At 38.1% G+C, this 25,767-nt stretch overlaps 1 protein-coding gene across 3 annotated transcripts in view, besides 1 other annotated feature; it reads right to left on the bottom strand.

The window, feature by feature from the left end:
- The window catches only part of GTF2F2 (general transcription factor IIF subunit 2), a 164,384-nt gene that overhangs the window by 92,658 nt on the left and 45,959 nt on the right, over nucleotides 1-25,767 (bottom strand). Inside the window, exons 5-6 of one of the 3 annotated variants that reach the window (XM_011535053.4) lie at nucleotides 8,758-8,835; nucleotides 6,234-7,002 (exon numbers count right to left, since the gene is read on the bottom strand). The exons of 1 other annotated variant lie outside the window; for it this stretch is intronic. In XM_011535053.4, coding sequence (XP_011533355.1) covers nucleotides 6,989-7,002; nucleotides 8,758-8,835 — 92 coding nt within the window. In that variant the 3' untranslated portion in view covers nucleotides 6,234-6,988. Of the gene's footprint in view, nucleotides 1-6,233; nucleotides 7,003-8,757; nucleotides 8,836-25,767 lie in introns of those variants that run through there. One more of the 3 variants, XM_011535052.4, reaches the window with a different exon arrangement.
- Nucleotides 7,280-7,379: a silencer, noted in NCBI's record as "silent region_5311". NCBI's record gives its function as "represses an Ori minimal core promoter by ATAC-STARR-seq in GM12878 lymphoblastoid cells {active_cell/tissue: GM12878}" and the evidence as "EXISTENCE:reporter gene assay evidence [ECO:0000049][PMID:35858748]".

The following is a 25,767-nucleotide window of genomic DNA, read 5'->3' as shown; positions in this document are numbered from 1 at the left end:
TTTTATATATACTAAGAAAAACAGATTTCTACTAAAACATTATCTTTTACATACTTTAAAACAGCTTAATCAAGACTGAACAAAACTATAAAAACAGGAAAAGAATTGTAAAATTTATTTGAATAGCCACTATAATTGAACTGTTTATATGCCTCTCCAACTTAGGAGTTGACTTTTCCTTGGCATTTGGACTTTGGTAATGAAAAAAAGGTAGTGATTTACTGTCAGAGCAAGATTTTCTCTTACAAGATTTCATTACGGATAATAAAAATAACCCTGACATATCTTTTTACAGGAGATATAGCTGAACAGATCTCCTTAGAAGCATTACAAGTAAGGTTTTTTATCAAATCCAAAGAGGAGAATTTAACTATCTTAACAAAGTTATTATTGATAGAAACCATTAAAAATATCAGATTCATTTTTATGTAGCATCTTTTAGAACTTGTATCTGGACACATTTAATTCCTCCTCACACTTCTAATAAATCACAATGTTCTAAAACAATTTAGTAATCTAGAAGGAAATCTGACTAGACTGACCACCCTTGTAACTTTTTATAAATGTACCTTTTTAAATTCCAAATTACTTGTACTTGGATTTATATATTCAAATGCCTAAATATTGTGCTCTAAGTATACAGAAAATATCTATATTTTAATGTTAGTATTTTCTAAATATATTCAGAAATACTTTCCATTCAAGAAACTCAAGAAATCACACAAAATGTCACTTATAAGTCAGAGTGAAGCTTTCAGAGTATTTCTGTTCCCAGTTACTGAAAAATTTATTTCTCAAATTTTTTCTCATAAGTAAATACTGTTCCAAAAAACAAATCACAAAGTGACTATCTTTCTCAAAAGAAAGGTAATAAAAAAGTAGGTTACTATAGTTGCCATGAGCCAAACATATATTCTCTTATATTTGGAATTACCCCATGCAGTGACTCTAGCACCATCCTTAAAATGTGAGATTATGGCTATATATATATATATATATATATATATATATTTTTTTTTTGTATTTTTAGTAGAGACGGGGTTTCATCATGTTAGCCAGGATGGTCTCGATATCCTGACCTCGTGATCCACCCACCTCGGCCTCCCAAAGTGCTATGATTACAGGCGTGAGCCACTGCGCCCGGCCGGCTTTTACTATATTTTTAAAATGTATATATGGTGGTATACAGAACAAATGAAACACGAGACTTTTCAAATAATTCAAGGAAGATGACTACCATGCCAGACTGAAGATGATGTTACTGAATCAGCTTATTCAGTTTTTTTTTTTTTTTTAAAGAAAATTACTTGTATTTCAATTTGCCACACGTGGTGGCATACACTTGTAATCCCAGCTACTTGGGAGGCTGAGGCGAGAGGATCGCTTTAACTGAGAGGTGGAAGTTGTGGTGAGCCGAGATCGCACCACTGCACTCCAGCCTAGGTGACAGAGCGAGATTCTGTCTCAAAAAAAACAAAAACAAAAACAAAAAAACCCCCACAAAACTTATACTTCAAATGTTACTTACTTTTAGGGTGATAAAAAAAGCTAACATTTATTAAGCATTTTACTATATGCCGGATACCATGCTAGGAACATACATTCTCTCAATTAAACCTCAAACAATTCTAAGAAAGGTATTAATTATTCTTTCCTTTTTACTGATGAAGAAACAGAGACTTAGGGGGTTAAGTAACCTGCCCAAGATTACATAGTTATAAAGAGGTGGAACCAGGATTTGAAGCCCAGGTATACCTGTACCAGAGCCAACAGAAACCACGTCTGATTTTGCAAGCCACTTATATCCCTAACACCTAGAACGTGGCAGAAAACAGGCATTCACAAGGTAGGTGTTGAATACAGAATACCAAAATATAGGTTTGCCTCACTTGATACAACCTTATAATGCAAGTATTCCTAAAACATTGAGTGAAAAACTGAATTTTAGAAAAGTAATATTTTTAATGTCATGTCATTTAAAAAACAGGTGAATCACATGTCTGTTGGCTGCATAAATGTCTTCTTTTGAGAAGTGTCTGTTCATATCCTTTGCCCACTTTTTTATGGGGTTGTTTTTTTCTTGTAGATTTGTTTAAGTTCTTTGGAGATTCTGGGTATCAGCCATTTGTCAGATGGATAGATTGCAAAAATTTTCTCCCATTCTGTAGGTTGCCTGTTCACTCTGATGACAGTTTCTTTTGCTGTGCAGAAGCTCTTTAATTAGATCCCATTTGTCTATTTTGGCTTTTGTTGCCATTGCTTTTGGTGTTTTGGTCATGAAGTCCTTGCCCATGCCTATGTCCTGAATGGTACTGCCTATGGTATTACCATTTGCAATACCATCCTGAATAGTATTGCAAATACCATTTTTAAAGTATAATTTTAAAGTATAAAATTGAGGAAGTCTACTAATTCTTAATTTGCAACCCATTGATTTTTGACTGCAAATCAAAACCACAATGGCCTTTGCTCATGCCTATGTCCTGAATGGTATTGTAAATAAAAACCACAATGGCCTTTGCCCATGCCTATGTCCTGAATGGTATTGCAAATCAAAACCACAACAGCCTTTGCCCATGCCTATGTCCTCAATGGTACTGCAAATCAAAACCACAATGAGACACCATCTCATGCCAGTTAGAATGGCAATCATTAAAAAGTCAGGAAGCAACAGATGCTGGAGAGGATGTGAAGAAATAGGAATGCTTTTACACTGTTGGTGGGCATGTAAATTAGTTCAACCATTGTGGAAGACAGTGTGGTGATTCCTCAAGGATCTAGAACTAGAAATACCATTTGACCTAGCCATCCCATTACTGGGTACATACCCAGAGGATTATAAATCATGCTGCTATAAAGACACATGCACACGTATGTTTATTGCGGCACTATTCACAATAGCAAAGACTTGGAACCAACCCAAATGTCCATCATAACAGATTGGATAAAGAAAATGTGGCACATATACATGATGGAATATTATGCAGCCAAAAAAAAGGGGTAAGTTGATGTCCTTTGCAGGGACATGGATGAAGCTGGAAACCATCATTCTCGGCAAAATATCACAAGGACAGAAAACCAAACACCACATGTTCTCACTCGTAAGTGGGAGTTGAACAATGAGAACACTTGGACACAGGGAGGGGAACATCACACACTGGGGCCTGTTGTGGGGTGGGGAGCCGGGGAGGGATAGCGTTAGGAGAAGTACCTAATGTAAATGACAAGTTGATGGGTGTAGCAAACCAACATGGCACATGTATGCCTATGTAACAAACCTGCACATTGTGCACATGTACCCTAGAACTTAAATTAAAAAAAAAAAAAGTGAATCATCCATCTCACAACAGTAAAGAATATCACAAATTTGTCTGCTGGTGAATATAAGATTTTCACATATCAAGTTTGGTGAAAAATAGGTTAACTTTTTATGACTGTATAATCCACAGAACTGACATATTAGGAGAAAAAAGCACAGTGAAACACACATGGGCTCTCGAGTTAGACTTGGGTTCTAATTCCATTAACTTCCACTAACTTGCTTACATGATTATAAGCAAGATCCTTAACTTTTTAAAATTTCAACATCCTCACAGTAAAATAAGGATAATAGTAACTATTTGACAGGGCTTTTGCAAGGTTTAAATTAAATTCTGAATTGTATGTAAAGTACTTCACCTTCATGAACTTTTGATAAAGCACTAATTATTATCTTGTCCAGTAAAAAGTATTTTCATGGCATAACCATGAACAGGTCTCCCCAAAATGCACATTTACATTAATTAGGCTTTCTACTTACACATGAATAGAATGGAGAACTTTTAACAAGCACATGTTTAATTCTGTGATGAGATACTACAAAACACAAGACTGTACTTTAAATTGCTATAGGCAAGCATGGTTTTCATTCTATTCATTTAAAATAGATATAATAGGTTTCTTGGGACTTTTATTTTCTAGCTTCATGTCAAAATCTACAATAACAAAATAATAATAGCAGCTGTTTTGTCAGCAATATAAAATCAGCAGGGGCCAGGCACAGTGGCTCACACCTGTAATCCCAGCACTTTGGGAGGCCAAGGCGGGTGGATCACTTGAGGTCAGGAGTTCAAGACCAGCACGACCAACATGGTGAAACCCTGTCTCTACTAGAAACATAAACATTAGCTGGGCATGGTGGTGCGTGCCTGTAATCTGAGCTACTTGGGAGGCTGCGGCATGAGAATCGCTAGAACCCAGGAGGTGGTTATAGCAAGCTGAGATTGTGCTACTGCACTCCAGCCTGGGCAACAGAGTGAGACTCCCATCTCAAACAAATAAATAAAATCAGTAAGGAGTTACATATGTGATAATGCTATTTTAAAGACATGCCAATCTAATAAATTATGAATATTTTAAACAGCAATGCATGTTAGTCAAGGTTAAAATTACAGCATCTGAATCATAATTATCCTTGCTAACAAAACAAAGATGTAATATGGAGGACTATCCAAAACAGCATGCAACTTAGAAATCATTTGTATTTAGCTTTAAAATATACAATGGCTTCTTCTGTAGCCGACTTATCGTCCTAATCATATTTTGCTTAAGATAATATTACAATTAATTTGTTTCTGTCAACAAACACCAAGGGAGTGGCGGTAAAGGAAAATAGGCTGGACAGAGAGAAATATTTAAGATGAATCTAAAATATGGCTAAAAAAATTTATGAAGAGGTGGACTGTATTTCTACTTCTTCTCTTAAAAAATACATAATGGTTCAATATTTTCTAGCAAACAAAAATCATGAACACATATAAGTTGTTATAAATGACCTATATTTAATAAAACTTTTCTAACAATGCAGAAATGTACATTAAGCATTGTATAATAAAATACACAAATTCTAGTTTTATTTCAACCACCAGTTATTTTAGAAAAGATACTGAATTGGATATTTAAAAATGAGACAATTAAAACATACCCCTTTTAAATTTTTAAAATATAAATTTAAAAAAATATATACTTTCATAGAGATGGAGTCTCACTTTGTTGCCCAGGCTGGTCTCAAACTCCTGGGCTCAAGCAATCCTCCTGCCTTGGTCTCCCAAAGTGCTGGGATTACAAGTGTGAGTCACCACACCTTGCCAACGTATCCCTTTGTAAATGTTTTTAAAACCTACTCCATATTATAAAATATAACACATTTAACCTAAAACCATGACAGGTTTTTCCAAAACCATAATTCCAGAATATTCAGTTGCATTTAAAAGCAAGTTTTAATAGTAATTTTATTTTAAAAACTAGTTAATTTTTGAAAATTCCTTTTTAAAAACAGGCTCAACTTTTCAAAAGTAATTTTGATTATTGTCCTTTAGGATGTTTAGCACATATGTTTTGACATTATTAAAGTATAAAATTGAGGAAGTCTACTAATTCTTAATTTGCAACCCACTGATTTTTGCCTCGTTAAAACAGGTATTTATTAACTATTTTTAAGGTTCTTAAAAAATGTTGAGTGATACTAATTTTGACTTGATTTATCTTCTATCACTTACTGTTATTTTACAAAGAATTAGACCAATTATCATTTACATTAGGTATCATAGCATTTGATAAATTTTTATTTATTTTTAAAACACTAAAAATAGGCTGGGCGGCCAGGCGGCTGGGTGCGGTGGCTCACACCTGTAATCCCAGCACTTTGGGAGGCTGAGGCGGGTGAATCACCAGGTCAGGAGTTCGAGACCAGCTTGGCCAACATGATGAAACCCCGTCTCTACTAAAAATACAAAAAATTAGCAGGGTGTGGTGGTGGACGCCTGAAATCCCAGCTACTTGGGAGGCTGAGGCAGGAGAATCATTTGAACCTAGGAGGTGGAGGTTGAAGTGAGCAGAGATCGAGCTATTACACTCCAGTTTGGGTGACGGGGCCAGACTCTGTCTCAAAAAAAAAATTAAAATTAAAAAAAAAAAAAAATAGGCCAGGTGCCGGGGCTCACGCCTGTAATCTCAGCACTTTGGGAGGCCAAGGTGGGCAGGTCACTTGAGGTCAGGAGTTCAAGACCAGCCAGGGCAACATGGCAAAACCCCATCTCTACTAAAAATATAAAACTTAGCTGGGCATGGTGGCGCATGCCTGTAATCCCAGCTACTCGGGAGGCTGAGGCACAAGAATCGTTTGAACCCAGGAGGCAGAGGTTGCAGTGAGCCGAGATCGTGCCACTGCACTCCAGCCTGGGCTACAGAATGAGATTCTGCCTCAAGAAAAAAAAAAACCATGTTAAAAATATGAATGAAGATACCATAATCCTATATCCTAACAAAACTATTTTGATTTTTACATATTTTTTTCTATCTACGCAAAGATATTTTAAGAGAAATCCATCTAGAAAGAAAAAAGAAAGACTGTGCATAGCTGTGTATGGAAATAATTACTAATAAAGGTGAGATAACTGGAGAGAGACACCAAACAGAAGAATCTAAAAGTCATAAATGATTTAGTGCATTTTCTTTCTTAAAAAACAATCTTTAATTGATAAAATTTGTATACATTTATGGTATACAACATGTTCTGGAATATGCATATATTATGGAGTGGCTAATCAAACTAATTAACATATATATTACCTTATATACTTAGTTTTGTGGTAAGAACACTTAAAAGTATATAATACATTGTTACTGGGTATATTCACCATGTTGTACAATAGCTAAAGGTTGTGGGTGATAGATTTATAAAACAACAAAACGAAAACTAAAACCAAACACAACCGCAGGCATTTACAACATGTGTAAGTCTACATGTGCTTACAATATGTATAAGTTTACAACATATTATAAGTTGGTGTTACAACACAGCCAAAATCTAACACATTGAGATTTAGAACATAAAATTCAGCTACCTTGAAAAGTGGAAGCAGGCTATATTAAAATACATTTTGGTTCCCAGTTATATTTCCCTCTGCTCTTTCTTTGTGTCTTAAGGAAAATTTGGATTATCTGGATATCAGGCAGATTGTCCTTAATAAGACAGAAGAAAAAGGAGCTTCAAATATATTTCTTGCTGTTACAGAATACAACATTTTTAGGTATACTATAAAATTCACTAGGTGACAGGTATGTAGAAAATAATGGGCTAAGCGGGGTGTCGCACCTATAATCCAGGCACTTTCAAAGGCCAAGGATGGAGGATCACTTGAGCCCAGGAGTTCAAGACCAGCCTAGGCAACATGGCAAAACCCTGTCTCCACAAAAAATACACACACACACACAAAAACAGTTGGGCGTGGTGGCCCACACCTATAGTTCCAGCTACTCAGGAGGCGGAGGTGGGAAGATCGCTTGAGCACAGGAGATTGGCTGCAGTAAGCCATGACTATGCCACTGCACTTCCTGCCTGGGCAACAGAGCGAGACCCTGTCAAAAACAAAGAAAATAACAACCTTGTGCTTGTATAAAATATATACAAATTTGGCAGTTAACACTCAGGTGTTTAGTGAAGCAAAAGGCACCCTAAGTAAAATCTTTCCTAACTTTCCGAAGACTTTCCATTTAACTAAAGGATGTAATAAAAGAAAAGTTGAGGTAGAATCTTAATTCACTTTATCTTTTTAAAAATGAATATGCATCAAACAGTGGTGTTTTGGCTCAAGGCAGTGGAAAAGAAAAGCAGGTGAGGATTTCACAATTAAAGGGAAAAAAGGCTAGCTACAGTGGCTCACATGGTAATCCCAGCACTTGGGGAGGTCGAAGTGGGAAGATTGCTTGAGCCCAAGAGTTCGAGGCTGCAGTGAGGTAGGATCATGCCACTGCACTCCAGCCTGGGTGACAGAGCAAGACCCTGTCTCAAAAAAAAAGGGCGGGGGGGAATAAAGTTAAAAAAGACTTCACCAATCAACGCCACCCATGTTAAAAATTACTAATGAAGTAAAAGGCTAAAACCTCTTCTACAGAAACTAACAGTTCCCCAACAAGGGAACAGCCACACCCTATCTACCTCTTTCCTGCGAAGAAATCATCTATGGTTGTTTCCATACAGAAACAAGTTTCAGGTATTACAGTATTATAAGAAATCACTCTTCTGGGAAAGTATGTGAATGAGCCAAAAGAATAAGAGGCCAGGTGCAGTCGCTCACTTTGGGAGGTTGAGGCGGGCAGATCACTTGTCGGGAGTTCAAGACCAGCCTGGCCAACATGGTGAAATCCTGTCTCTTCTAAAAAAAATACAATAATTAGCCAGGGTTGGTAGTGCACACTTGTAATCCCAGTTACTCAGGAGGCTGAGGCAGGACAACTGCTTGAGCCCGGGAGGAAGAGGTTGCTGTGAGCCAAGATCGTGCCACTGTACCCTAGCCTGGGTGACCAAGAAAGACTCTGTCTCAAAAAAGAAAAAAAAAGAAAAAAGAAGTGGTAAATGCAGACAATCTGATCCTTTAACACAGGAGATCATAAAAATGTCTGGCATTTGATGAGGTATTACTTTGTATCAGGCACAGTACTAAGTATTGACATGCACTGTCTGCTTTAAAGCGCACAACACATAATGATCTCATGAGGTGATGGGGCAGATATTGATAGTTACTTCTCCTGTATCCATTCCCTTCTTTGTCAGAAATGGAACCCTAATTAAGGGTAGCAACTACACCCAAATTAAACCTGCATTTCCCAGTGTTCTATGGCTGCAAAGTGTGGCCAAGTTATCAAGTTCTGACTAGTGGAATGTAAGCAAAGTGACTTCTGGATATGCTCCTGCAAAGAATTAAAAAGTCCCTTTACCTTCCCCGTCTTGCTTCCCTTTTGATGCCTGAGAGGTAGATATGACAGTAGTAACTCCAGCAGTCATTCTGGATCCCCCTGAGGATGGAAGCCACAGTTAAACAATGGCAAAGGCCTGCTGATGACCTTGGAAATGCCATAGCACACAAGGACTTCTTACCTAGGAACTTCCCTTACAAGGGAAAACAATGTGCTTAAGTCACTGATACTTTGCTAGCGGAGTTAATTCTAACAGATAGAGGTAGGTAGTATTAACACTATTATTTTATAGATGAAGAAACAGGGATCCCCAGAGTTAAGCAATTTGCCTGCAGTCACACAGCAACCAAGCAACCTTCAAAGTGCCAAGCTCTTAACCACTATGTGATAATGCCTTCGGACCAGATCCTGGAACTCAGTAAGAGACTTACTTGACAAAGGACATGAACCTTGAAAATGGGCAAAATAATACTGAAGGAAGGGGGTGCCTCCACTCATTCATTAGTCTAGGCCAAGACCTAGTTAAAATAATGGAAGAAGCCACAGTTAACCAAAAGGGAACCCAGCCTGCCTGACGAGTGTGCTACAAGAAAAAACTAGTACAGAGAATCCATTTCTGAGACTTGTGGGGCCTCAACCACAGAAAGAAAAAGGGGGACTGGCACGTGAGGGATAACCAGGAAAGAAGCCTCTGTGAGCTAGGCCTATTTTCCTCATTCATGTACAGAATTATTAACAAATTAAACCTGAAGAATAGCTACCAATAGTGAACAATCAGCAAAATGATTTCTAAAAATGAACTAAAAATTCTTCCATGGGACCATCTAAGAAAAAAGTAGACTACCTTTAAGCAAATCGGAGGAGGGAGACTATTTTTACATCAAGTAAGCAAAGCAACAACTTCACAGATTTTTGAGATATAGTAAACTCTTGTACTGCCCTGCTCTGGAGATGGAGGAAGAGTATAAACATAGAGAGAGAAAGGCATAATTCTGTTTCCCCACAGTACCAAGCAATTTTAAAAAACACTTAAGATCACAAAGCATCTTGAACGCTATTTTAGAGTCATCTGGGAAGGAGTGAAGTAAGAACATTGGGAAAGTGGCCGGGTGCAGTGATTCATACCTGTAATCCCAGCACTTTGGGAGGCCGAGGCAGGTGGATCACCTGAGGTAACAAAAGTTAGCCGGGCGTAGCAGTGGGCGTCTGTAATCCCAGCTACTCAGGAGGCTGGGGCAGGAGAATTGCTTGAGCCCGGGAGGCAGAGGCTGCAGTAAGCCGAGATTGCACCACTGTACTCCAGCCTGGGCAACAGAGCGAGACTGTCTCAACAAACAAATAAACAACACTAGGAAAGTGAAATGTAGTCTAAAAAACTAAACTGGTGGAAGCTGGAAGAGAGACATGGTCAAATTCTTAGAAATGGCAGGGTATGAAGAAGAAGGGGCTACATAAGGAGCTACCTCCAGAGAGAGGGAGGAGTCTAAAGCTTCAGCCAGCAGGGCGGCCATTTGTTACCTAAGGAGCTAGCATTATTCTCTCTAGTTTTCTAAATTAATAAGCTTGTGGTAGACTATTCAAACAATTAGGCATTCTCCCCAATACCATATCAATAGAAGCATCAAGAAAAGCTACCGCTAGCTTTTTGTACACTTAAGCTAACACAATGTGCTCAAGCTCACAAAGTTTTTTAAAAATTAAAAAACAGATGAAAAGCAACCCAAAAGACAATGCTTTTGGATGAGACATTTTCTCAACCTAAACTTTCCCTCTAGCTTTCAAAAGTGACCCAAAGACAATAATACTAAGTAAGTTTTTTTGGCTTATATAGCCGAAATATGAAGATCACTTAAAAGCAATACTGACTCATCCACAGGTTAATAGATTTATTTTATATTTACTTCTAAATACATACTAATTGTTTTTGTATTATACAGCTTTATAACATAAAATGTAAAGTTGCTGTTGTTTAAAACCTAATAATTGTCTTTAAGAACATCAGAGAGAAATGTTCATATACAAGTAATTGACATGCTTAAAATGTTCTTGGTTATTCATTTAAGGATTCCTTAAAGGATCTCTATTGACTAAGCTCTTTTACTCTGACTCATTATTTTACAGCAAAAGCAATGACTCCTTAAATCTACTGTGAAAAATAAAATATATTTCAAGGTGCCACTAGTTGAAAAGTATGACCCTTTCCTTTTTTAAGGTAGCCAGCAAGAAGAAGAAGAGAGGGAGGTATATGAAGGGAATTGATGCCATGATATCTGGATATCACCTTTGGTTTTTCTGGTTTTTTTTTTTTTTGTTTGTTTGTTTTTTTGTCTTTTGAGACAGGGTCTCACTCTGTTGCCCAGGCTGGAGTGTAGTGGTGTGATCTTGGCTCACTGCAACCTCCACCTCCTGGGTTCAGGCAATTTTCCTGCCTCAGCCTCCTGAATAGCTGGAACTACACTACCGGCACGTACCACTATGCCTGGCTAATTGCTGTATTTTTTGGTAGAGACGGGGTTTCACTGTGCTGGCAGGCTGGTCTCGAACTCCTGGGCTCAAGTGATCCTCCTGCTTTGGTCTCCCAAAGTGCTGGGATTATAGGCGTGACCCACCACGCCCAGATCACTTTCGTTTTTTGATGACTACATATGACAAAGACCACATCAGAGACCAGCAATTTACCAATACAAAAATATACTTCTTTTAAAGAAAAATCCATGCTTTCTTCAAGTCACTACACCCTTCTAAAGAAAACATTAGGACACAATAAAAAATTAATTAAATAAATTTTTATTGGATAAAAATTTATTAAAGCAACAAAGTAAGGTAACTTAGATGACTGACATGAAGTATAATAAACATGTAGAAATAAAAGTACAATTCATTTGGCTACAAACACACAAAACTTGAAAAAACAAAATGAGCAATCTTTTCCTTACACAAGCAGTATGGACCAAATTAGATCAGAGTTTATAATTACCACAAAAATACTCATTTAAACATTTGCTGACCAGCCAAAACTTTGCTTTGAGGAAGATATATTACACATACATACACACACATACGGAAAAAAATGACAAAATTATAACTGTCTAACTAAAACAGACACAAAATACGCATGAGTCTATAGTATAGACTAAAATTCTATAATGGACCTGAAAAGAAACTACGTATATTTTTAAAGCTCACCTATGAGTGTTTTTTAAGAAAAGAGATGTAACTGTGAAATCTAGACAATACAGAATAAAAATAAATAATTCAAGAATAAGATGACATGATCAAAAGCCAAGAAGAAAGTACAAACTTATTTATAATTTATACTAAGGTTAAACAGCAGGGAAATTAGTTGTGGAATGTTAGTCTTTACAGCCTTGATGAAGTGATAACACAACTAAGTAAAAATGAGACGTTATTTTGAGGATTATAATTTTCAAAATTTTCGTAACAGAGAATTGATAGATTGTCAAAAAGTGAAAAACATGGAGTTTTTAAAAAAGATAATATAATGACTCCAATTCTTTAATTCTTCACCCACATCTACACCCCCACCTCCCAACTTAAAAGAAACTCTTGGGAACTTGTATTTCTTGTGAAAAAGAGGCATTTATTTGATGTTAAGAAATTCCTTCAGTTCTTTTTCATCTGTTATTTCGAGTAAATTAACTATGCTGGTCTATATTCTCTATAATGGTGGGCTAACTTAATTTAGATAAAATCTCCCTCTGAAAAACAATTAAAAAGCTTAATAAAATCTTAAAGTATCAAAAAGACCACAAGATAATAAGAAATTACAAGCCCCAAATATGGGGAAAATGAGATTCCCTGTGGTCATGAGCCAATACAAGGAAAATGAGACTCTTTGTTTAGACAGCCTCCCAAGGCATGAGGGACATAAATCAAAGTCCAGTGCCTATACAAGGTAGAAAGTCTAACAGGAGTTCATTTCCACAAAAAATTAAAATCCCAAAGGACTATATACCTTCAGGGCAGTGATAAGAAGGAAATTTTAAAAGCTCCTGATAAACTAACTAGGGTGACCCAGAGTCCTAGTTTGCCACAGACAGTCTAGTTACACCCCAAGTATTGGCATGCTTAAAAATAGTGCTCCTTTTTACTCTCAAAAAGATTCCACCTTGTAACCAGGTAAGCTACATGGTCACTGTAATGATCACCTAATTTCAATCCCTGGATACCCCATCAAAGAAATCTCAAGCCTTGAGCATGGTTTAATGTGATAATGGTAGACTATCTCTGAAGATGACTGAAAACAATCCCTTTCTTCCCTGTACTTGCACACCGCTAGTTTCATCAAGAGGTGGGGTCTATTTTATTTTCCCTTGCTTTGAATCTGAGCAGGTCCTGTGACTTGCTGTGACCAACAGATGCAGCTGAAGTGATGCTGCACCAGTTCCAAGCCCAGTCCTTAAGAGACTTAGCAGCTTTTGCTTTTGCTTTCTTGGAAAACAGCCACCATGTAAAGAAGCATGGGCTAGACCTACTAAATGACGAGAGCACTAAAGAGAAACCACAAAGGACAGAGCAAAGGTACCCCAACCCACATGCACCAACTCTCAGGCAATAAGTGAAGCAGTCCTGGACACTGCACCCTAGCCAACCCCCCAGCTGAATGCAGATGCATGAGTAACTCCAGTCAACATCATGTGAACAGTAGAGCCCCCAGCTTAATCCAGCCAACTCACAGATTCATGGAAATATGACATCATTGTTGTTTTAAGGCCCCAGTTTGGTGGTGATTTGTTATAAATTACTGAAACAGTGGATCAAAACTGGTAGTGGTCTGTAGTGCTTGGGTGAGAGTAGGTACATAACTTTCATTTAAAGTCACATGTTTGGTAAACGGAATTTGAGGAGAAAAAGAAAAAAAGAAAAAAATTTAAAGAAAGTCATGTTATTCCTATAAATAAATATAATGCCAAACACGAAGCTTTGAAACTAGATTCCTTGACTAAGTACCAGTAAAAGCATCAACATAAAGGGACTCTAAAAGACTTCAGAGATTGGAATTCTCAGATACACACTATAAAACAACTGGACTGTGATTAAAAAAAAAAAAAAAGACAAACTCAGAAATACCTACAGGGAAAATTGTCACAGATTCAAAAAAGAACCACATAAGACATCTAGAAATAAAAAATAAGAAGCATAATTTAAACCTCACTGGACAAGTTTAATATCAGACTAGACACAAGTGAAGAAACCATTAGTGAGTTGGTATATAGGAAAAATAAATTTTCCAGAGTGTAGCACAAGCAGAAAAGGGGCAGAAAAATCATTACAGAGACACAGAAGATACAAAGAAACTGTTGGCCCTATGTTTAAAATATTTGTTTCATCAGAATCTCAGGAGGAGAGAAAAAAAATAGAAGTAACATTTAAAGGGCAGGTGTCAGAAAGTTTTCTACAAATGAAGGAAGACAGCAATCAACAGACACAAGAAGCTCAATGAATCCCAGGCTGCTTAAAGAGAAACCCACATGTAGACATATCACATTAAAATCAAAGATAATCAAAAAAATTTGTATATACTCACAGGAAATAAAAAGACATTACCCTTAAAGCATCAGCAATAAAACTAACAGAATTCTCCACAGAAAAAACAAGACTGTGGACTCTTTCAGCAATAAAACTAACAGTAGAATACTCCACAGAAAAGCAAGACTGTGGACTTTTTCCTTCTTCACAATTTTACGAATGAAAGATTCATTTTTACCGTAGATCTTAGCAACCTCAACATATATTTTCCTTTCCTTATTAAGTTAGGAACTCTTACTTTTTCATTTAGAGGAGGCACTTTAAGGTTTCTCTTTGGCATATCTGAATTGCCAGCATCACTACTCTCATACTTTGGGGCCATTATTAAGTAAAATAAGGGTCATTTGAACACATACACAGTGATATTAAGACAGTCTGTCTGATAACCAAGACAGTTACTAAGTGACTCATGGGCAGGTAGCATATACAGCATGGGTATGCTGGACAAAGGGAGGATTCACATCCCAGGCAGAATGAACTAAGATGGCCCGAGAGTTCATCATTCTACCCAGAACAATGTACAGTTTAAAACTTTGGTATTATTTCTGGAATTTTCCATTTAATATTTTTTGGACCTCAGTGGACCACGGGTAACTGAAACTGCAGATGGGAGGTGGTAAGGGGACGCAACTGTATAACTTTGCTACCAAAATAAGGCTAGATGATATCAACCACTGGAGAAGAGAGTGAGCCTAAAAGCAGACCTGTACTTCAGTAAATAGTTGATTTATGGCAAAGCTGGTATTGTAGAACAGTGAGAAAAAGATGGTCTTTATTAAAAAAAAATACATCATTCTCATTCATATGGAAGAAAAATACAATTTGACCCCTATCTCACACCTACAGAAAAAACAATTCCAGGCTGGGCGCAGTGGCTCACGCCTGTAATCCTAGCACCTTGAAAGGCTGAGGTGGGTGGATCACTTGAGGCCAGGAGTTCAAAACCAGCATGACCAACATGGTGAAACCCCATCTCTACTAAAAATACAAAAAAAAATTAGCTACGCATGGTGGCGGGCACCTATAATCCCGGCTACTCGGGAGGCTGAGGCAGTAGAATCGCTTGAACCTGGGAGACAGAGGTTGCAGTGAGCCAAGACTGCACCACTGCACTCCAGCCTGGGTGGAGCGAGACCGTCCCCCCCAAAAAAAAAGAAGAAAAGAAAAAGAAAAAACAATTCCAGTTAAACCACAGATGCAAATGTGAAGAAAGACAATACAAAAAAGCTTATGGAAGATGACAGAGGAAAATAACTTTATGATCTCAATTTCTTAAAGAGACACAAAAGCACAAGCCACAAAGACAAGACTGACAAACTGGACTATTAAAGATAACTTCTGTTCATCAAAAAATACCTTTAAGAGAGTAAAAAGGCAAGCCACTGAATAAAAGTTATTTTAAAACCACATAACTAAGGGCTATACCCAGAATATATAAAGAACTACAACTCAAAAAGAAAAAGACAACTCATAAAAAATGGACAAGAAATCTAAACAAGCATCTCTCAAAATAAATTCAAATGTAAAATAAACACAAGGGTAACTTCATTTAAAAAAGAGACGGATGTCAAATCAAACCACAGTGAGAAATCACTACAAATTCACCATAACAGTTAAGATTTTTTTATAAATATAATATCATTAGAGAGGAGTTAAAACAAAAAGAACTTACATACACTACTGATGGGAAGATAAACTAAGATGGCTTCTTTGGAAAACAGTTGGGCCTTATCAACCAGAATTGAAGATATATGTATCCTGTGACCAAAGTCCACACTTAGAAATTATAGCAGTATTGTTAATAAGCTAAAAATTATAAACAACATAAATATTCACTAACAGTAAAAATGAGTAAACTGCAGTAAACAAATACTCTGGAATGCAACAAAGAAATGGAATGAACTACTGCTATATACAACGTGGATCAGTCTTAGAAAACAGTACTCCATGACAACTGTAATAAAATCTATACTAACAGGAATAATTCAGGCAAAAACAAAATGTTACCCGATAGAATTTGGCAAATGGGCCAGGTGCAGTGGCTCATGCCTGTAATCCAACACTTTGGGAGGCCGAGGCGGGCGGATTACCTGATGTCGGGAGTTCGAGACCAGCCCGACCAACACAGAGAAACCCCATCTCTACTAAAAACACACACAATTAGCCAGGTGTAGCGGCGCATGCCTGTAATCCCAGCTACTCGGGAGGCTGAGGCAGGAGAATCACCTGAACCCGGGAGGCAGAGGTTGCAGTGAGCCGAGATAGTGCCATTGCACTTCAGCCTGGGCAAAAAGAGCGAACCTTCATCTCAAAAAAAAGAGAAAAAGAATCAGGCAAATCCAAGAAGGAAGAGAACTGAAGAGTACACACATATTTGGATACAGATACTGATGCTGTTTAAGATAATAACAAAAATGTTTTACAGGACATAAAACATATATAAAAAAGAACACTAAAAAACAGAACAACCATATGATCCAGCAATTCCACTACTGGGTGTATATCCAAGAGAAAGGAAATCAGTATGTTGAAGAGATGTCTGCACTCCTATGTTTATTGCAGCACTATTCACAATAGCCAAGATATGGAATCAACTTACACGTCCAACAGATGAATGAATAAAGAAAATGTGGTATATATACACAATGGAATACTATTCAGCCACAAAAACCAATGAAATCCTGTCAAACAAGGCAACATGTATGAGCCTAGAGGTAATTATGTTAGTGAAATAAGCCAGGCATAGAAAGACAAATATCATATGTTCTCACTCATACATGAAAGCTAAAACAGTTGATTTCACAGAAGGAGATAGAATAGTGATTACTAGAGGCTGGAAAGTGTGAGGCATGATAAGGAGGGACTGGCTAACAGATGCAAAATTACAGCTATATAGGAGAAATAAGTTCTACTGTTCTATTACACTGCAAGGTGACTATAGTTAACAATAATTTAGTGCATATTTTCAAAGAGCTGTAAGATTTTTAATATTCCCAACACAGAGAAATGATAAATGTTTGAGGTGACAGATATGCTAACAACTCTGATTTGCTCCTTATACATTGTACATATGTACCAAAATCATACTGTACCATAAATGTATACAATTATTGAGTGTTAAAGAAAAATCTCCCAGTGAGAAACCTGTTTGGATAAGGCCCTAGACCTCAATGAAGGCATTAACCTGTGGATCTTTCTCCCTCTCCTTCCCTCTGAAGTCCTCCCTGACCTCTGTGTATGGCTTCCAGGTATGTCATGTATCCAGGACCTGTAAGTAATAAAACTATTATTTCTAAAAAAAAAAAAAAAAAAAAAGAAAAAAGAAAACAGTGCTCCATGAAAAACTCATACCAAAAAAATGGTGCATATTCATTCTATTCATATAACACTAAAAAACAGGCAAAGTAAAATATATTACTGAGGAATAAAGGCTTAAATGCTAAAATTATAAAAGAAAAAGTTACTATCATTAATGTCAATGATGGTTTTCTCTGTGGATGAAGAAGTGAGCTGTGATCAAGGAGGGATACCTGGCAGCTTTTGAGGGGCTGAACATGTTCTATTTCAGCTGTTTCATGTTAATACATCTTTTCTGTATGTGGCAGTGGTCACATTTTCAAGTTTTAAAAAAATTATCTATACTTTTAAAAATAGCTTCTCTGGAAAAGTTTTGTGGTTATGTATTAAATTTAACTTGCAATTACCATATTACCCAGCAAATGCACTCTTGGGCATTAATCCCAAAGAAATGAAAACCTGCACTCACACAAAGATCTATACACAAATGTTCACAACAGCTTTATTTGTAGTAGCCAAAATCTGGGAACAACCCAGACATTCTTCAATGAGAGGCTAGTTAGATGTACTGTGGTACATCCATACCATGGAATACTCAGCAATAGAAAGGAATCAGCTAGTGATTCACATAAAACCTTGGATGAATCTCTAGAGAATTTATGCTGAGTGAAAAAAGCATTTATATAGTACTTGTTTACATAACAGTTATACGACACTTTTAAAAAGTGACAAAGTTGGCCGGGCGCGGTGACTCACGCCTGTAATCCCAGCACTTTGGGAGGCTGAGGCAGGTGGATCACGAGGTCAGGAGATCGAGACCATCCTGGCTAACACCGTGAAACCCCATCTCTACTAAAAATACAAAAAATTAGCTGGGCGTGGTAGCGGGCGCCTGTAGTCCCAGCTACTCGGGGGGCTGAGGCAGGAGAATGGTGTGAACCTGGGAGGCGGAGCTTGCAGTGAGCCAAGATCATGCCACTGCATTCCAGCCTGGGTAACAGAGCAAGACTCCATCTCAAAAAAAAAAAAAAAAAAAAAAATGACAAAGTTATAAAAATGCAGAACAGATCAGTCATTTCTGGGGGTTAAGACAGGGTTGGGGAAAGAGGTGGGAAGTGGGGGTGGTTAGGAGGAAGGTGGCACGGTTACAAAGGGTAACCTGAGGGATTCTTGTGGTGATGGAACTGTTCTGCATCTTGAGTGTGGTGATGGGTATATGAAACCACACGTGACAAAACTGCATGAAACTAAACAATACACACACACACACACACACACACACAGTTAAGTACAAGTAAAACTAGGGAAATCTGAATGGGACCAGTGGACTATATCAATGTCAATATCAATGTCAGTGGTTTGTATAGTACCATGAATTGCAATATTACCACTGAGGAAAACTGAGTAAAGGGTACATCCAATCTCTCGGTATTATTTTTTACAACTACATGTGAATCTACAATTACCTCAAAATAAAAAACTTAATTAGAAAAATAGAACATATTTTTTCTCTCTGTACACTTTTTTCTATATCTATGTGTCTCTACATTGCATATTTTGTAATGCTGTCCACCAAATAATACTGTTAAGATGGCAATACTCTTCAAATTGATGTATAGATTCAATATGATCCCTACCAAAATCCCAGCTGGACTTTTTACTTTTTGCAAAAATTAAGGAACTGATCTTAAAATTCATATGCAAACTTGAGGGACTCAGAATAGGTCAACAATCAACAATCATGAAAAAAAAAGAAAGGTGGAGGGTTGGAGGGTTCACGCTTCCCAATTTCAAAACTTACTACAAAGCTACAGTCATCAAGACTGTGTGGTACTGGCATGAGGATAGATACATTGAGCAATGGAATAGAACTGAGAGTCCATAAACAACTCCTGATCAACTAATTTTCAACAAAGGTGCCAAGAGAATTCAATGGGGAAAAAATAGCCTTTTCAACAAACAGTGCTGGAAAAACTGGATAGCTGCATGGAAAAGAATTAAAGTTGGCTTCCTATTTCATACCATATACAAAATTAACTCAAAATGGATCAGAACCTAAATCAAAGAGCTAAGATGATAAAAATAAAAAAGAGACATTAGATTATATCAAAATTAAAAGTTCTGTACTCCAACGAATACCATCAGAAAAGTAAAAAAGACAACCTACAGAGTGGGAGAAAATATTTGCAAATCATATCTCTGAATAAGGGATTTGTGTATATATATATTGAACTCTTACAACTCAATAATAAAAAGATAAACAACCTAGTTTAACAATAGGCAAAGGGTCTGGAATAGGTATTTGTCCAAATGAGATACACAAATGGCTAACAAGCACATGAAAAGATATTCAACATCAATCATCAGCTATCAGAGAAATACAAGTCAAAACCACAGGGAAACACAAATGAAAATCACAATGAAATGCCACTGCACACCCATCCACTTGGTTGGCTATAATCAAAGGGACAGACAATAACAAGTGTTGGTGGGGATGTGGTGAAATTGGAACCCTCACACACTACATTCCACTCCTAGGTATATATACAAGAGAAATAAAAACTTAAGTTCCCACAAAAACTTGTACACAAATATTCATAGCAGCATCATTCACAATAGCCAAAAAAACGGAAACAATCTAAATGTCCATCAACTGATGAATGGATAAACCATGAAATATTCAGATGATGGAATACTGTCTAGCAATAAAGCAGAATTAAGTACTGATAAATGCTACAACATGAATGAGCCCTGGAAACATCATGCTAAGTAAAAAAAAAAAAAAAGGTCACAAAAGACCAAGTATTTTAGGATTCCATTTATATAAACTGTCCAGAATGGATAAATCTATAGAACCAGAAAGTAGACTATGGCGTGGGAGGTTGGGGTGAGAATAACAGGTGACTACAAATAGGTGTGGGTTTCTTTTGAGATGATGAAAATCTAAACCTGTGGTGATGGATGTACTAAAACCATTCACTTGTACACTTTAAATGGGTGAATTGTATGGTATGAGAATTTTCATCTCAATAAAGCTGTAATTTTTTAAAAGGCAATATAATGTAAATACTCCTTTTCATTTAAAATACCACTAAATAATATTAGGTTTACTTCCTTCCTAACTTCAGATAGAAAGAAAACTCTAAAGTGTTTCAATAGGGATCCTTCTTACTCATTGCAAAGGTACAAAATGGTATCAGAATGCTTGGCAACACCATGCAGAACCCTCAAATTACTTAAACCTGTTTCTTTTAAAGTTGAATTAAAGTCAAGATATGGTTTTAGGCTGGGTGCTGCAGCTCATGACTGTAATCCCAGCACTTTGGGAGGCCAAGGTGGGCGGATCACCAATTCGAGATCAGCCTGGCCGACATGGCGAAACTCCATCTCTACTAAAAAACAGAAAAGTTAGCTGGGCCTGGTGGCATGCACCTGTAGTCCCAGCTACTCAGGAGGTTGAGGCAGGAGAATCGCTTGAACCTGGGAGGCGGAGGTTGCAGTGAGCCAAGATCGAATTACTGCACTGCAGTCTGGGTGACAGACCAAGACTCTGTCTCAAAAAAAAAAAAAAAAAAAAAAAAAAGATAGGGTTTTAGGCAGTAGCATTTTCACGGCTATGTCACCTCATGCAAGCAACGTTGCTTTCTCTCTACTAAATTGCTGCCTATTTAATTTCTGCTGCTGCCTGAGCCAACTGTCTGTTACCATTCTGACTGACCACCATGATCTTCCTCCACTCTCTCTGCTACCCTCCCAGTATGACAGATCACACTGCTACTACCTTCACTGGGCTTTCATTACAATCTCCCCTCAGTCAGTTGGAAGCCACATCCTTTTCATTCCAACCCTTCTCTTGCATCTAGACTTCTCCAATTCCTCCAGGGACCATTCTTCTGATCTCATGATGGTTCTCTCAGATACCACCTCTGATCCTTTCTCTGACTGCAGCCCCTAGTCTTTCTTGTATGCAGATTCTCTATATTTTCCAGCTTTCAGGAATAACTACTTCAAAGCCACAGAACCTTTCCATTAGAATATAATTTACTCAGAAAGACAGTTTCAAGGGGAAAATATTCTGTGTACAGAGTACCTCACTAGCTGAAAAAAAAGTCATTTGTTGGAGATGATTTCAAGACTGCAAAACTCATGAAAAGTAATTCAAATAAATTACCTGCATCACTGACTCAACTGACATTCACTTTCCACAAAAGCTTTTATTTGCTTCTAAGCCTTGTCAGAAAAAAATTTTAAAAGATGTTAAGTGGGAGAAAGAAAAATTAATTGGAGCCCATGTAATGATAAATTTACCAGACTATGCGTGTTACAAAGATAACCAGTCTCAGCTGGGCACAGTGGCTCACACCTATAATCCCAACACTTTGGCAGGCCAAGGCAGGGGGGGTCTGAGACCAGCCTGGGCAAGAAAATGAGACCCTGTCTCTACAAAAAACATTTTAAAAAATTAGCTGGGTGTGGTGGTATATGCCTGTAGTCCCAGCTATTTGGGAGGCTGGGGTGGGAAGATCGCTTGAGCCCAGAAGTTAGAGGTTGCAGTGAACTGAGATCATAGCACTGCAGTCCAGCCTGGGTGACAGAGCAAGACCTTGTCTCTAAATAAATAAATAAATAACCAGTCTCTTATTAAAAATCAAATAAAATAAAATAAATGTTGGAACTATAACTCTCTGGTTTGTGTTAAAAACCTAGTTCTTAAGAAGCTTAATATTTCTAATATTGCAACATTTCTAAACAATACTGGTTGTGTCCATGTAAACTTATGCTTGAAGGTTAAAAAATAGTAATCTATATTTAAAAGGGAATAAGTTACTGAAGACATGTAAAAAAAATTAGTCTAGAAAATTTGATACTGGATCCATGGATTCAAAAATCAAAGCATAGCTGACGATGTTCTTTTGTTACCTGAGTGGTGGTTACAGGGATGTGTTCACTTTGTGAGAAATCAACAGTATAAACTTATGATTTGTGCTGTTTTCTTAAATGTAGGTTATGTTTCAATTAAAATTTTAGTAACAAAAAAGCAAAACACAAGAAGAAAATCAATTTTTCTAAAAATCCTCAACTAGACTTCTTAGTTCAAAAAACTAAATCACAAGTATTAAATCACACTGCATTAGTTTGCTGGGGCTGCCATAACAAATTTCCACAGACTGGGTGGCTTAAGCAACAGGAAGGTATTTTCTCATAGTACTGGGGGCTGAAGTCCAAGATCGAGGTGCCTACAACTTTGGCTTCTTCTAAGGCTCAGCTCCTGGGCTTGCAGATGGCCACTCAATTGTGGCCTCCTCACATGGTCATTCCTCTGTGCATGTGCAACCCCAGTCTCTCCTGAGTGTCCAAATTTCCTTTTCTTATAAGGACACCAGTCAATTGCCACTGCCTCTTTTTAAATTCATCGCCTCTTTACAGGTCTTATCTCCAAATACAGTCACATTCTGAGGTACCTGGGTTTAGGACTTCAACCTATGAATTTGGAGCAGGGGCGGGCACAGTGGCTCACGCCTGTAATCCCAGAACTTTGGGAGGCCGAGGCGATCGGATCACTTGAGGTCAGGAGTTCGAAACCAACCTGGCCAACATGGAGAAATCCCAGCCTGGGCAACGGGGTGAAACCAAGGAAGGAGGGAAGGAGGGAAAGAGGGAAGGAGGGAGGAAGGAGGGAAGGAGGTAAGGAGGGAAAGAGGGAAAGAAGGAAGGAGGGAAGGAGGGAGGGAGGGAAGGAAGGAGGAGGGAGGGAGGGAGGGAGGGAGGGAAGGAGGGAGAGAAGCAAGGAGGGAAGGAAAGAGGGAGGGAAGGAAAGAGGGAGGGAAGGAAGGAAGGAAGGAAGGAAGGAAGGAAGGAAGGAAGGAAGGAAGCCAGCCAGGTGTGGTGGCACACACTTGCAGCTCCAGCTACTCAGGAGGCTGAGGTGGGGAAATCACTAGAGCCCCAGAGGTAGGGGGTGCCATGAACCGAGATCGGGGCACTGCACTACAGCCTGGGTGACAGAGTGAAAACCTGTCTCAAAAAAATAAATAAATAAAGTTCAGGTAGTTTATTTGTCAGAAAACACTGAGGGTTGGAAAAATGAGGAAGAAGAAATGAGCCTATAAAATGATTAGTGTAGAAAACCAGTACCAGCTGGATACTACTAAGGACAACTGTTGCTTAATATGTGCCTTAGTCACCCTACCTGAGGATTAAAGGAGCTGGGTGTTTATCAACTAACAACTCCTGGCAGATATTGGCTGAACGCCACTCCCAAAGTGAGTGTTAAAATCCTGGCATTTCTGGCCTGCCCTCCAGGCAGGCAGAGTAGTTGGCAGCAAGAGAAGCTCTCAGGCAGACAAAGGTGCCGAGATGTAAAAGTTGGCTAGTGTGCACAGTAACGGCAAGGCCTTGAGAGGCTATGGGCGAACACTGACAGCACCTGGGGCATCTATGCCACAGCCCCTAATCTATAGGAGTCTGTCCCAAACTTGTGAATGTAAAGACACATCAGCCTTCACCTAGAAGCAGCAGAAAAGGGGTTGAGAAGTGCTCTAAACCAGACTTTTTTCTTTGCTAAACGGTACAGATCTTTCTCTCAAGAAAAGTCTGACACATAACACATTATACAGTAAGGAAAAAAATGTGTCAAATCATCATAGTCATTAAGTTCTGCATAGCTATATAAAAGAAACTGAAGCTGTAAACAACACTGGGTGGTGTACTTTTTTTTCCCTCTATCAACAGAAAATGCCACAACTTTCAACCATAAAATATTCTCAAGAAAGGTTCTTTTAGACTGGGGGGAAACAAGTGAGGCTGGGCGTGGTGGCTCATGCCTGTAATTCCAGCACTTGGGAGGTTTGGGAGGCCTGAGGTGGGAGGATCACTTGAGGTCAGGAGTTTGAAACCAGCCTGGCCAACATGGTGAAAGCCTATTGCTACTTAAAACACAAAAATCAGCTGGGGGGCCGGGCACGGTGGCTCACGCCTGTAATCCCAGCACTTTTGGGAGGCCCAGGCGGGCAGATCACGACGTCAAGAGATCAAGACCATCCTGGCCAACATGGTAGAACCCCATCTCTACTAAAAATACAAAAAAATTAGCTGGGTGTGGTGGTGCGCACCTGTAGTCCCAGCTACTTGGGAGGCTAAGGCAGGAGAATCACTTGAACCTGGGAGGCGGAGGTTGCAGTGAGCTGAGATAGCACCACTGCACTCCAGCCTGGTGACACAGCAAGGCTCTATCTCAAAAAAAAAAAAAAAAAAAATAGCTGGGTGAAATTAGCTGGGTGTGGTGGCAGGAGTCTGAAGTAACATTTATTTGGGAGGCTGAGGCAGGGAGGCGGGGGTTGCAGTGAGCCGAGACTGCAACACTGCACTCCAGCCTGGGCAACAGAGCGAGACTCCATCTTTAAAAAAAAAAAAAAAAAAATAGTAAAATAGTATGTATAGTATGTGTCTGTAGGGCTTTTTACCCTTTATTATTTTGAAATAGCTAATGATACAGTCTGTATAAGCAAGAATTTGTGGGCTGATACACATACACGAAGTTCTTTAAAAAAAAAAAAAAAAGACTTCAACTGCATTTCTTTTTAAACAGAGCAGTCTTTCAAAGTGTGCTGGCCACTACCAGAGTTTCGCTTCTGGGCAGGCCACAGCTGTCTAACGGCTGGTAGGAACATATAAGAATAAGGTTTTCTTTCAGAACTTAAACATGTTTAATTAGTCAGTTTTGTATTAAAGATATATAAATGGACCTAACTTTCAAGAGATTTTAAACTCAAGACAAAATTGGTTTCTCAATTATTTATCAATATTCCAGGGAAGAAATTCATACTCTAAATTGAGGCTTGTATACAAGTTGTATATAATGTCCCTACTGGGATATACCAATATAGTCCCTATTCATATTCACTCTATTACATTAAATAACATTTTTTATTCCATTCATCATACGAATTCTCATACCACCTACTTCTATTTTACTTTGACTTTTATTTTAAAGCCCCCTATTCCCTAAAGTCTGGTCATAGTGGATTGACAAGATTTTCTTTCTAAACTCATCTGCTTGTTAACTTTAACTTGATGCAATCTGAAAACAATCCATATGAAGCTCAGTGAACACAGCTTTCGTACTTTCCCTAACACTGGCTCCAGTTTGACATCAGTACCTCAGTACTATTCCAGAAATAATTT

This window comes from Homo sapiens, chromosome 13 (genome assembly GCF_000001405.40).
Source record: "Homo sapiens chromosome 13, GRCh38.p14 Primary Assembly".
NCBI lineage: Eukaryota > Metazoa > Chordata > Mammalia > Primates > Hominidae > Homo > Homo sapiens.
The sequence above is the reverse complement of the archived record's forward strand: the minus strand, read 5'-3'. Positions and strand labels throughout refer to the sequence as shown.